This window comes from Homo sapiens, chromosome 5 (genome assembly GCF_000001405.40).
Source record: "Homo sapiens chromosome 5, GRCh38.p14 Primary Assembly".
NCBI classification, from domain to species: domain Eukaryota; kingdom Metazoa; phylum Chordata; class Mammalia; order Primates; family Hominidae; genus Homo; species Homo sapiens.
This window is the reverse complement of record NC_000005.10, coordinates 20,665,950-20,680,352: the sequence shown is the minus strand read 5'-3', so window position 1 is coordinate 20,680,352 and position 14,403 is coordinate 20,665,950. Positions and strand designations below refer to the sequence as shown.

Sequence of the window (14,403 nt, the reverse complement as noted above, 5' to 3'; positions counted from 1 at the left end):
AGAAAGACCTGAGAAAGAGGCTAAAGCTGTTTGTTGTTATAAGAGGGATAGAAAAATAGATTGAATATTACCTTTATTTTAATTAGATAATTTGACTTTTTTAGGTATAAAAGAACGTTTTCTTAACTGTTTTATATAGTTCGTGTGGTAGAATATATTATAAAATGGATGAAAAATACTTGGTTTAGTTTTTTTTCTAATGGATATTTATAAATTTAGAATAACAATGGTGAATAAGAAGTGATGGCTCTAGCTTTCTTTACCCTGCCTTAATTTTCAATGCTTTAGGGAAATCTAAACCTAGTTAGCAAAAAATGCCTGTTAGAAGATCCATAAAATTAACATGTGTTTACAGCTAATTCCCAAAATAAAGGAGAGATAGGTCAAATTAAATCAATTTTAGCTATAAGTAATCCTGTAAATATAATGGAAATGTAATAGTGTATAGAAATGAGTATTGATTATGTGTATATTTATCTTAAATATGTATTTAATCACGTCACCCTAATTTTTTTTTTTTTTTTTCTGAGATGGAGTCTCACTCTGTCACCCAGGATAGAGTGCAGTGGCGTGATCTCGGCTTACTGTAACCTATGCCTCCCAGGTTCAACAGATTCTCCTGCCTCATTCTCCCGAGTAGCTGGGATTGGAGGCATCCACCACCATGAACAGGTAATTTTTTGTATTTTTAGTAGAGACAGGGTTTCGCTACGTTGGCCAGGCTGGTCTTGAACTCCTGTTCTCAAGTGATCCACCCGCCTCAGCCTCCCAAAGTACTGGGATAACAGGGGTGAGTAACCCTAATTTTTCTATGATCTGAAAAGCAGGAGACAAAAACGGGAGGAAGAGAAAAGGACATTTGTTTCAATGATCACAAGTCATAATCTTGTAAACAATTAAAATAATTGAAATATCCTCGCTACTACACTTCATTAAGCTTAGGATATAGACATCAAATGCTGTGACATAAATTGCATCCCCCACTTATCCACAGGGCTTACCTTTCTAGAACCCCAGTGGATGCCTGAAACTGTGGATAGTACCAAACCCTATACAAACCATACTATGTCATTTTGATAACCAAGTCTGCTACTAAGTGACTCACAAGGAGGTAGTGTGAGTGTGTACAGCCTGGATACACTGGACAAAGGGATGAGTCACATCTCAGACAAGATGAAGCAGGGTGGTGCAAGATTTCATCACCCAACTCAGAACAACTCACAATTTAAAACATGAATTGCTAATTTCTGGAATTTTTCATGTAGTATTTTCAGAATGCAACTGACCTCTGAGTAACTGAAATTGTGCAAAGTGAAACCCATTGATAAGAGGATCCTACAGAATACTGAGGGTGAATTTTTTAGGAGACGTGATGGATAATGTGTTATACTCTTACAGTTGTGTGGTCATGACTTAGGCATGAGGTGTGCAGAGTTCCACCCTGTGCCCTCATCTCTGTCTGGTGAGACTGATGGCACCTGACACTGGCAAGCCAGCCCTAGAGCAATAAGTTTGAGATAGCTCAAGGGTTATAGTCAGATCATTACAATTGGGTACAACTTGTGACCTTTACTGTGAATTCTAATTTAAATGTAATCAGAGGTGTGTAAAGCCTTGATTTCCAAAGCTGCCAATATGTAAATCTTACCTGATTTTCAGTCATTGCATTTCAAACCAGCTGGGCTTCAGTGAAATTATATTATGCCCCTGCTGGGCCATAATGATATGATTTTTCACCTGGTTTGAAACTCATACAGATCTACATGAAATTGAAACTGAAGTGAAATGTGTAAGGAGTCAACCACAGGAACCTATGGTTATACATATGTATGTGTGTGTGTCTATATATATCCAGCACAAATTATATATTTATATATATACATATATACATATATAATTATTGTTTTTTTCTCAAGTCATTGCTAACTGAAACAGCAGGCTACACACTTGTATAATCTCAGCAGGCTTGCCACAGTAGTTAATCTCACAGTCTTATCTGAGGACAACTGGGCATCATAATAAAAGAAAAGGGTCATTACTAATTGTGTTCAAGGAGGAAATATTCACTGTCAATTTATTAGGTTACAGTTATTGCTGATGGAGAATACGGCTAAAATTATCATGAGTCATGTTATTAGAGTCCATTTTATTTTCTTTTATTTCCTGTTATAAATGATAGATGGTTCTTAAACTCAGAAATTAAGATCTTTAACAAATTAAAGTTATTAGCAATTTTATATTTGAATTTTAGTGTGAAAGAGACATGGTCTCAGAGAGGATTTCCTTTTACATTTTGAAAAAAATATAAGCAGCTCAAACTAGAATATTCCTCTGGACATGATAATCACCAAGAAAATTATTTTAGATTAATGAAATAAATATTTTTAAGGAAAAAATAAATAAATAAAATGGGTCTTTAAAAAATTATGACTTTAATTTGTTGAAATATTCATTTTTGCATATAATTCTCTTTATGATTAAAAAAGATGCAATTTATGTATTTTAACATTCTTCTTCACTATGATAGCGGAATAAAAAGTATGAAGCACGTGTTGTCTAATAATTAAGTGTGCTAGACATCTTCATTTCAGCCTCTATGGACAATATAGCTTTGAAATGTGCTCCTGGTTTCAGCAGTTGAGATCTTTTTGGCTTTACCCTAGCAGGAGAAGAAAACTAGAATTGGTTTGCACACAGAATATTCCTCCTCCCAGCAATGCTGTTGGTTTTGTGCAAGAATTTTAACATTCTCTTTCCCATCCTTTATTATGATCAATATACTCAGTTCTGCTGTAACGCTTGTAAAAACTGATCCAGGCTGCTGAGCAAGCTGCTCTGCCACTTGGACCATACGATCCATTAGTTCCAATGGAGCCTGAAGCATCAGTTGTAGATAAGAATACTGTTTTTATCCTGTGACAAGTGCCCATAGGTGAATCATAACACAGTTCTTTAGGATTTTTATCAACAGTATGCTATCTTTTGCAGATAACTACTCACCTTGTGAGAGACAGAACTTGGCCTGCTACTGGGCCTTAATAGAAACTGTGCACTCGACCATGGCCCCCCAAATTATCATGACACTTAAGCTGCTCATTATAAAGTAGGTGTTATCTGACCCACTAATCTATTAAGTTGGACATGCACTGCAACAGTCTATTCTGAAATGGAAGTGGTATATACATATGATCAGGCTCAAGCAGGCCTTGAAGGCCCAAGTAAGTTACAAGAACAATTGGCCCAAATGCCTGTGGTGTTCACACCTGCTACACTAGCTTCCCCACATCTGTGGATTCAACCAGCCATAGATCAAAATTATGTAAAAAAAAAATGAATTTCACCTGTAATGAATGTGTACAGATTTTTTATCTTTTTTAAACAATACAGTACAACAACTATTTACATAGTATTTACATTGCATAAAGTATCATAAGTAATCCAGAGATGACTTAAAGTATACGGGACAATGTGCACAGGTTATATGCAAATACTACATTATTTTATATCTGAAACTAGGTTATCCATGGATTTTGGTATCTGCAGGAGGTCCTGGAACCAATCCTCCACGGTTATCAAGAGATGATTGTACTGATTCGTGGACTGTAGCTAATGGTTTGGCCAGATGGTGAAAGACTTAGAACAACCATGAGTGAAAAATTAATAACAAAAAAAAATAGTGGAATAGGTATGAGGATTGACCTCTCTAAATGGACAAAATATATAAAGATATTTGTGTTTCATGTAAATGCTCACCAAAGACTGATCTCAGAAAAAGGAGGATTTTAATAATCAAGTGAATAGCATGACCCTTTGGGGGATTCCATTCTGCTTTTTTCCATACTCAATCCTATCATTCCCCAATGGGCTCATGAACAAAGTAGCCATGGTGTCAGGGATTAAGGTTACGGCTCAGCAACATGGACTTCCACTCACCAAGACTGACCTGCCTATGGCCACTGCTGAGTGCCCAGTCTGTAGCAGAGTCCAACACTGAATGCTCAATATATCACTATCCCTTGGGGGTGATCAGCCATCTACCTGGCAGCAGATTGATTACATTGGAATGCTTCCATCATGTAAGGGACAGTGTTTTGTCCATAATGGAATTGATACTTACTCTGGTTGGATTTATCTTCCGTGCATGCTATGGTTCTGCCAGAACTATCGTCTGTGGACTTATGACCAGAATGCCTGCTCTACTCCTGTAGTATTACATGCAGCATTCTGACCAAATAACTCATTTAATAGCCAGAGAATTATGGCAATGGGCCTATGCTTGTGAAATTCACTGGTCTTATCACATTCCCCATCATCCTTAAGCAATTAGCTTGATAGAACAGTTAGATGTCTATTTTGTTTGTTTTGTTTTTGTTTGTTTTGTTTTGGGACAAGGTCTGGCTCTATTGCCCAGGCTGGAGTGCAGTGGCACCATCTCAGCTCACTGAAACCTCTGCCTCCTGGACTCAAGCCTTCCTCCCACCTCAGCTTCCTGAGTATGTGGGACTACATGTGCGTGCCACCACACCTGGCTACTTTTTTGTACTTTTTGTAGAGACAGAGTTTCGCCACATTGCCCAGGCTGGTCTCAAACTTCTGAGCTCCAATTATCTGCCTGCTTCGGCCTCCCGAAGTGCTGGGATTACAGGTGCGAGCCACCACACCTGGCTAAGATGTTTTTGAAGACCCAGTTTCAGCACCAGCTAGGTGGCAGTGCCTTGCAGGGCCAGGACTAGCTTCTCCAGAAAGTTGTATATGCTTTCAATCATATCCAATATATAGTACTTTTTCTCTGATACTCAGGATTTATGGGTTCAGGAATCATGGGGTGGAAATAAGAGTGGTACCACTTGACATTCCCATAGTGACTCAGTAGCAAAATTGTTGCTTCCTGTTTTGTAACTTTATGCTCTGCTGGCATGTAGGTAATCAAGTTCATAGAGAGGAATGCTTGTACCAGGAGACACAGCAATAATTCCATTGAACTGAAAGTTAAGCCTGTCAACCTGGCCACTTTGGGCTACTAATTCTGAATCAACAGGCGAAGAAAGGAGTTATGGGGTTGGCTGGGGCAACTGATGAGGGCTACCAAGGGGAAACTGGGCTATTCCATCAGAGAGGTAAGGAAGAGTAGGTCTAGAATATGAGTGATCTCTCACAGTATCTCTTAGTTTTATTATATTCTGTGATTGAAATCAATAGAAAATTACAACTCAATCTGGGGAGAACTACTTATGGCATAGATCCTTCAGGATTAAAATTTTGGTCACTCCACCAGGTAAAGAACAATAAACAGCTAAAGTTCTTGATGAAGGCAAAGGGAATACAGAATGGGTAGTAGAATAAGTTAGCTATAAATATCATTTATGACCTCGTGACCCTTGGGGATTGTAATTACCATGAATATTTTCTTCTTATTTTGTTATGAATACAGTTGAGAGTATATATATATATATATATATATATATATATATAGAGAGAGAGAGAGAGAGAGAGAGAGAGAGAGAGAGAGAGAGAGAGAGAGAGAGAGAGAGAGAGAGAGCAAATAGTTTTTTTTTAAATTATTCCCTTATTATGTAGTTTCTTGAGGAGCATGGCATCCAGCCATGGATACTTTAAGAAAAGTATCCAAAGGAAGGAGAGGTGATTGGGTGAGCATACTAACCAGTTCTTCCGAGAGTATATTTGTCTTGGTAAATCAACCTTAAACTATGTTAAACCCTCAGCTACTCACTCAGAAGATCAATCGTGGTAGAGTCAGACTTTCTTACACATGGGATTCTAATATGCTAATACATCTTACAAGGACACTCCTTTCGAGAATTCCAATTTAATCACTTGCCAGAACCAAAATATACTGTAGAGTAGTGCCAGCTCAAGCCACTATTTTTTTACATAGACATACTACACAGGTCATCTAATTAAATGTAAATTGAATATTAAGTAGGGATTCAGGTTAATAGGGTTTAACGTATTCCTCTTTTATTGGCAATATTTCTGATATTTTTCTAACTTCAGCTTAGCAAAAGACATAAACATACCAAGTATAGAGGGCATCACTCTATTCTTGGTAGAAGTTGTGTTGACACTGCTAAAATTGGCCTTTATAAATTTCTGTCTTTGTTCTAATTGTTATGTAGCCACTTTTTTGACTTAACATATTTTTCTCTTTTTGCATGTAAATGCCTTCAATACAGATGAGGTTCAACTGTTTCTTTACAATATAACTCCTGGGAATACTATCTTTAATATTTTTGTTTAATATTCAAAGTTATCTCTTTTCTCATATTTTCAGTATTATTTTACTATCTCTCCAATAATACTGTCTATAATTACTGCTGAAGTTTTACATTTTAAATATGTTAATTCGGCATTTGTTTTAGATCTCTGGGTTCATAAAATTTGCTGATTTTTCTGTTGGGAGATATAATGTTTTACTTTCAGATATATAGATGAGAATGTAGCCTACACATTTTTCTTAACTTGTAATTTTGCTTTGATTTTGGTTATGATTCCTTTGATATAAAATATATTTTCATTAGTTCTCAAATCATTGTTTATTTCCTTTTATTACCTTGTGCTTAGAAACCCCCTTCTATGCAGATAGTATATAAGTACTGTGTGAATTTGCTTTAATATTTACATTATCATTTAATTTTAAAAACTTATTTTGGAAAGTGAGTAAAGTATGAGAATTTCAACTGATTTTTCTACAAATATTTTAACTGAGGTCATACTATTATTATCTTATTGCTTCTTTCTCCATTACCTAATGTCTTAATAACATTTTTAGGAAAAAAATACTTCATGTCATTTGATTCATCATCATATATTTTATCATATGCATGAAACAATTTCATTATTTTGAATATAACTCACTTTTATATTATATTTTACTGTGTCACTATGACACCTTTATTTGGTCTGCAGTATTTTACTACACTAGCCTTCAGAGTCTTAATCTCAATGATTAATCTGGGATACCCAGAAGTAACAAGAAGTTAACATTATAAAATAGAAATCAAAATAGAAAAGTGTAAAGAGAATGAAAAAAGGGTGACCCTATAAAGCTGTGTAAGCTACTTCCAATTGCCCTTTTGACATTTTACTTATCATTTTAAACCCATCGGCTTCTGAAAAGCATTTAAGTTATTACTTCTGTGAATGACAGTAATTTAATTTTTGAAATGATTCTGAATGAATTTGTTGTTGCAAAAATTTCTGTCCTTGTAACCATTTTGCCATTATTTCTCAAGGTAAGTAAAAGGCAGATATCACTAGGGGAAATGAAGGGTATGATGTAGCGTTCTTTCCCATCAGGATAGAAGGAAAAATGGAATGTCTTTCCTTGGTGGAGTTGGTGGAGAAGAGAAAGCTGCAAGGACAAGGCAAAAGTCCTTTCCCAAAGATCCAACATTTCTACTCACCAGGGTAGAAACAGTGTGGTTGAGGATACACAGATGTCGGGGTACAAACAAATACATCTACTTGTTTCTTTTCTTGAGGAGGGAGGTAGAAGCAAAGGAAATTTTGCTCTACTTTGTATTTGGAGAATATTATAGATAGAGTGCCTTAAATCAATGTGGGTTAGCTTTAGGAGAAGGTATGTAATAATTTTATTTGTTTCCCTTATTTTATCTCAAAGAAATGGAGTATATCTCTCTGTGCTGAGCTGCCTGGAACTGTGGGGGAGGCGTCATAAGCACCCCTGTGGCTGCCACCACTGGGACTGCACTGGGTGAGACCAGAAGACTGCATAGCAATGGGTCTCACACAAGGCCCACTGTAACTACTACCTTGCTATCACCTGGCTATATTCATTTGGGGGTCTAGGGCCCTACAATCAACAGCTGGTGAAGTCAGCCAAGCTTGTGCCTTTCCCTTCTGGGTGGAGAGTTCACCATGGCCCCGGGCAGGTTCAGAGATACCATCTTGAAGCCAGAGCCTAAAGTTGAAAACCTTACAAATATACCTATTACTTTATTCTACTATAGCTGAACAGGCACCCTAGCCACAAGCCAAATTCCTTCCAACTCTTCTCTTCCCTTTACACAAGCACAGTAGTTTTTCTCCACGGCCACCGCCACAGGCCCATTAAGCGTATTGCCAGATACTGCTGATTTTCACTCAAGGTCCAAGCGTTCTTCAGTCAGCTTGTGATAAATGCTTCCAGTCCTGGTACTCACCCTTCAGGGCATTGGACTCCCCTCTAGCCCAGGACAGATCCATAAACACTGTCCAAGTGTCAGTGCCTGGAATTGGGGATGTCAAGAACTCACTTAGTGTTCTACCCCTCTGTGCCTGAGCTGGTATGTACGCTGCAATATAAAGCCTACTTTACTCTTCCCTCTGCTTTTCGCAAACAGGAGTCACTCCTTGTATCCACCACAGCTACAAATGTACTGGATGACACCTGAAACCAGTACATCTCAGAGTCTCACCCAAGGCCCATGGTGTGTACTACCTGGCCACCGGTGCTAATTATTCAGGGCCCAAGGCCTCTTTAGTCAGAAGCTGAAAAATTCTGCCAGGACTGGGCCCTTCCTTTCAAGCCAGTGGATTCCATTCTAGCCCAGGGCACTTCTAGAAATGTCATCTGGGAGTTGGTGTCTGAAATAGATGCCTAAGGACACTTCCTGATTCCCGATTCTATGGTGGTTCAGCTGGTATCCAAGTTGCAAGACAAAGTCATCTTCACTCTTCCCTCTCCTCTCCTCAAGTGAAATGAAGCAATCTTTTTCGGTACTGCATGCTGCACAGCCTGGGGCTGAAGAAGAGGTGGCACAAGCACCCCTACGGATGGCATAGCTGGTGTTTCCTTAGGTTGTGAGCCCCCTAAGTTTACTGGCTCTAAGCCTATCACAGCACTGAGACTTGTGACCTAGACTGCCTTTCAGGTTTGTTCAGAACTTCAGAGCACTTTGGCCCATGGTGTCAAGCCTTGCTGAAACTCTTATTCTGACCACTGGAATTGACAATTCTCTTTTGTCTGGGGCTGGTCTATATGCTGCCTCCATGGGCATCAATTGAGTTTTGCCTGCTGTTGCTTTCCACTGGGGTCAGGGCAGCTCTGGGTTCCAATACAGAGTCCCACAGTCACTTCACTCTCCCTCCACGAAACACACAGATTCTGTTTGTACCACATGGCTGCTGGGGAATGGGAATGGAATGGCATTGGCTTGTAAAGACTGTCTTTTTTTTATCTTCTTCATTGCCTCTTTCTGTGATATAATATTAAAACCACACACTCTGATAGCTCACCTGAGTTTTAGTTATTAGGAAGGTGGTTTTTGTATAGATAGTTGTTAAATGTATTGTTCTTATGGGAAGGACAATCTGTGGAGAGTTTTATATGGCCATCTTGCTCTGCTTTCCTTCTAATTCCTCTATCGGAATTTTATTGATCAGAGACTGGGAGGTTAGCTGTGCAGGGTCTCTTGGTCACTGGATATCCAACTGCAATCAACTGAGTATTAGTAATTAAGAATCCTTATTAATGGCCTCCTGATGGTAAGTCTATTTTTATTCAGCACCTTGGTTCTTAGGATGGAAGGCAACCGAATGCCACTTATGTACTTCTAGTCATCCCATTTCTTTCTTTATGGTAGTAGTTATGTCTTGACATTCTCTTCCCTCTTCCCCAAATCTACTTCATATAATTGCTTAGAATAGTAAGAGTTCATCATTCTTGTATGCATTTTTCTGTATAGTATTTTGAGAAAAATATTTTAAAATAATACTCACATATTGCCTTGATTTCATAGAAGGCTGAGATGATACTATTTTCTCCTAGAGATTTGAAGACATTTCTCGTTTTAGTATTGAGTGTTGCATAAAATGTGAAGCAAATTTAATTATGGTATATATTGTATAATTTTATAATTCTTTTAAAGGTTTTCAGAATTTTAATTCAACACTAAAATAACAGTAGAAATCGTTTTGAAAGATATTTTGTCATTCCTACTAAGCCCATTTGGTGGATTTAATTTGAGGATAGTGTTTCTCTTCAAGTTTTCACATATTTTATTTTAATTTTGGCTTCCGTTTTGTTCTCTATTAAGCTCCTGCTGGAATGCGTTCTGAAATGTACGCTAGTCACAGATTAGTCTTATTTGTTTTCCATAGATACTACTTTTTCCATAATGTGGTTCGGGTTTTTCAAATTTCATGTTTCGTTTTGTCAGACATCTGGGCTTGATTCTGTGGTTCACTACATCAATTGTTAGCCTTGTTTTGTACACATAAGTAAATTTATCAAGGCACAAGAATACAGGCCAATATATAAATATCAATTGTATTTCTAGACACTAGAAAGATCAAGTTGAAAATCAAATTATAAAATAATGTTGCATACAATAGCATAAAAATGTAAAACGCATAGAATAAATATAACAAAAGTTTGTAGGACCTCTCGATTGAAGATTGCAAATTTTAATGAAAAAAAGTCCTAAACAGAGTGATATACATTTACATGTGTAGGAAATCTCAACACTGGTAAAATTTTAATTCTTTCCAAATTAATCTATAGATCGAATGCAGAACTCACCAAATCGAGGCAAATCTATAGCTTGTGACCCATCAATCACACTCCTGAGCATATGCTCAAAAGAAACTAGTGCATATGTTCACCAAAATTGCATAAATTTTCATATAAATATTTTTCTTAATAGCCAAAGTTTAAACCAGATCAAATGTCCATAAGAAACCTTAGAATGGGAAAATTCATTGCCACAGTGTGGATGAATCTCCTATTCTTAATATTAATCAAAAGAATCAGATACAAAAGAAGGAAAACCATATGATTTTATTTATATGGATTTCAAAACAAGTAAAATTAATCAAAGATTACAAAAGACAGAATGGTCGCTAACCTTATGCCGAGAGAGGGAGCAGTAATACTAACTAATTGGAGGGATAAGGAACTTTCTAGTGTTGAGTACATTTCTATATTTTTGTTCAGTATTGGTTACAGAAGGATATGCACATTTAAACATGTATTAATGTATCAACTTAAGACTTTTATAATTTATGAAAATTGAAACAAAATCCCTCATCAATCTAACATGCTACTGTATAAGGTAAATCTCTAAGAGAAAGTTTTACAATGAGTCCTTTCTCAAGCTTATTAGGTAATGATTTGTGTGAACTGGTTTTCAGATAGTATGATAAGAGACAAGCAAGTGAATTGGTTCAGATATCTAATTTAGGAAAAGATTAGCAGATAATAACCAGGCTTAGGAGGAAGTTGAAAATACCTTGTTGAACTAGGATCTTTGGTATGAAAAAAAGGTATGAAAAAAATTATTAGCAAAACTTCAGGAGAATTTTTATAAGAATATTTCCACTTAAGATCATAAAATTTGGCAGCCAAAGTAATTATTTCATTGTACATGCAAATTTTATCTTTCATTTGCCCTTCATCAGAATTGAATCATTAATCTGTGTATAATAAAATGACCCATCCACTTGAGCAACAGAAATTACCTAAGATATTTTTAATTATTCTATTGGAATACAAATATCAAAATATTGAAGCAGCTGAGAAATCATGGGAAATACTTTAATACTTTATATAGTAGGTACACCCATGAATTCATTACATCCAATGCTGAATCCCCTCCCAGTCAATAGAGTAACTTAATCAATTCACATTTACTCTCTTTTACTTGAAAACTCAAATATTGTTGACTCAAATATATGTTGAAACATATAAATATAATTGCAAATTTCTCTGTTTCTTCCTAGGCCAATTGTTCATATTTTATTGTGTCTTGCTACTGTCTTGCCAGAAACATAGAGCAGTCATTAAATAGATGGTCTTTTCTCCAGTTTTCCAAGCCTCCAGGCCTTCTCTTACACTCCCACTAAGATAATACATCTAAGGTGCAAATCTAATCACACTGATATTCTCTGCTGATAATTCCCCACATGTGTAACAATCATATAAATGTACTTTATTTTATTTAAAGTATATGAATATGTCAAAAATCACTAAAGACGAAATTATTTTATAAATGGCACATTGCCCTAAGTTATCATCTGTATATATTCTGGCATTTACATATTTTCCTTTGCATGTATTTATGTAAATATTGACATATTACTAAATTGAAGATAAGAACTGCTACAATTTAGCATCTATTGGTCCTTGAGCTATGTTCAGCAGCCAAACAGATAAAAATGAAAATCTTTAGTCTTCCAGTTGCATGGCATACATATTGAACTTCAATAAAATAATTTCACTATCAACTACAATAGTAATTTGTATATTATGATAGTCACCTAATATCCTTTGGTAAAATTACAAAGTTTAAATAATGTGTAATATACCTATAATGCTGATCCCAAAATATATAAGCTGTTTTGTTAGTATGTTTCCTGCATTTATTGGCTAATAGCTTACCAAAGGTATGAAGCTATTATATTTTCTAAGAAATAGCAGTATAGATAGTCCATTATTCCATAAACCAGGAGTCCCCAACCCTTGGGCCGTGAACCATAAAGCCAACAAAGCTTCATCTGTGTTTACAGCCAATCCTTATCACTTGCATTACTACCTGAGCTCTATGTCCTGTCAAATCAGCAGCAACATTAGATTCTCATAAGAGCATGAACCCTATTGTGAACTGGACATGCCATGTCAGTGTCTCCCATCACCCCCAGATAGGACTGTACAGTTGCAGGAAAACAATCTCAGAGCTCTTACTGATTCTACATTATGGTAAGTTGTATATTCATTTCATTGTGTATTACAATGTAATAATAGAAATAAAGTGCACAATAAATGTATTTGAATCATCCCATAACAATTCCCCCACCCCTGGTCCATGAAAAAATTTTCTTCCATGAAACTGCTCTCTGGTACCAAAAAGGTTGGGGACCGTTGCTACAAACAATACATATTTAGATATAAAAACTAAATAATACTGATTTGAATAAAAATTATGAAAATAATCTCTTTGATTTACAAACAGAAACTATATCATTGTTTTTATCAATTAGGTCTAATGAGTAACATAATATAAAATAAAAATCAATGATCTCTTAAAGTTCAAACAATTCGCTACTGCAAATTAGCTCTGAAATACATAAATTATCCTAAGAAAAGTAGTCAATAAAAACAATATTTTTTTCCAAGTAATATACTGACCAATTATAAGAGTAGGAGTCCTGTTCCAAAATTATAGATTCAAGGTTTTTCAACTATTTCTACCTTAACTCAAAGATTTGAAAATCCCATCAACTAAAGTAGAAGGGGTTTACCTAATTTTTAGGTTTAATATTTTAATAAATTAGATATAAAGTTTATTCACTAGTTACTAATTAAATTATTGTCAATTAGTTTTGATAAGCCACTCAAATAGCTTTAAAGGGAAAAGAAACTTATTCAACAGATTTTGTTTTGAAACAAACATTGGGAATTGCAACCCAATCAATATTAGAGTTCAGTTTTAACAATGGATTCCATTTATTTAGAATGTAATTAAAAGTATACATTTTAAGTAGAAACTTTATCAACTAAAATATTTTTTTCTAATTCTCACATTACTGTTTAATATCTAGTTATTAAACAGTAATCACTAAGAGTTGTCCAACACTAATTAGACACAAGTTTAAATCTGATCATTTCCTTTCAATCACTCTGGTAAGTACTCCTCTTTTTTCCTATACATTAAGATTAACTAGATATATTTTTTTGCTTCATTGAGTTAGCTATTTTTAGCCATTATAGTATTAATGTATTAGGCACATATTGATGCTTTACAAAGGCTTTTGAACTTCAGAATTTTCCATCGAGATAAAATCATAAGTGATCATTAACATGTATACTTACAAATCATCAGAGAAATGCAAATTAAAACTACAATGTGGTATCACCTCATGCCTGTTAGGATGGCTATTACAAAAAAGACAAAAGATAACAAGTGTTCTTGAGGATGTCAAGAAAAAGAAACTCTTGTACTTTGTTGGTGGAAATGCAAATTAGAAAACAATATTCATGTTCCATAAAAAACTGAAAATAGAATTAATAGAGGCTCCAGGAATCCCACTTCTGTGTATTTATCCAAAGTATTTGAAATCAGTATGTCAAAGACATGTGTGTATTTCAACGTTCATTGCAGCATTATTCATAATAGCTAAAATGTGGAATCAACCTAGGTGTCCATCAACAAATAAAAATATAAAGAAAATGTGGTATATATACACAATAGAATGGTATACAGCCTTTAAAAAGAAGAAAATTCTGACATTTATGACAACATGAATGAACATGGGGAACACTTACTGGAACAGTAAAATATTCCAGTCAAAGAAGCACAAATACTTCATGATCTCACTTATATGTGTAATCTAAAGAATTCAAATTCAGAAGTACTGAGTAGAATAATGGTTGCCAGAGACTGT

The 14,403-nt window shown here is 35.5% G+C and overlaps 1 long non-coding RNA gene across 1 annotated transcript in view, besides 1 other annotated feature; it reads right to left on the bottom strand.

Moving 5' to 3' along the window:
* Positions 1–14,403, bottom strand: part of LINC02241 (long intergenic non-protein coding RNA 2241) — a 325,854-nt gene that overhangs the window by 257,341 nt on the left and 54,110 nt on the right. Inside the window, exon 3 of the long non-coding RNA NR_149120.1 lies at positions 9,742–9,786. This is a non-coding gene — a long non-coding RNA (long intergenic non-protein coding RNA 2241). The remainder of the gene's footprint in view (positions 1–9,741; positions 9,787–14,403) is intronic.
* Positions 197–1,396: an enhancer, noted in NCBI's record as "MED14-independent group 3 enhancer chr5:20679066-20680265 (GRCh37/hg19 assembly coordinates)". NCBI's record gives its function as "activates an origin of replication core promoter dependent on BRD2, BRD4, P300/CBP and CDK7 cofactors, and independent of MED14, by STARR-seq in HCT116 cells {active_cell/tissue: HCT116}" and the evidence as "EXISTENCE:reporter gene assay evidence [ECO:0000049][PMID:35650434]".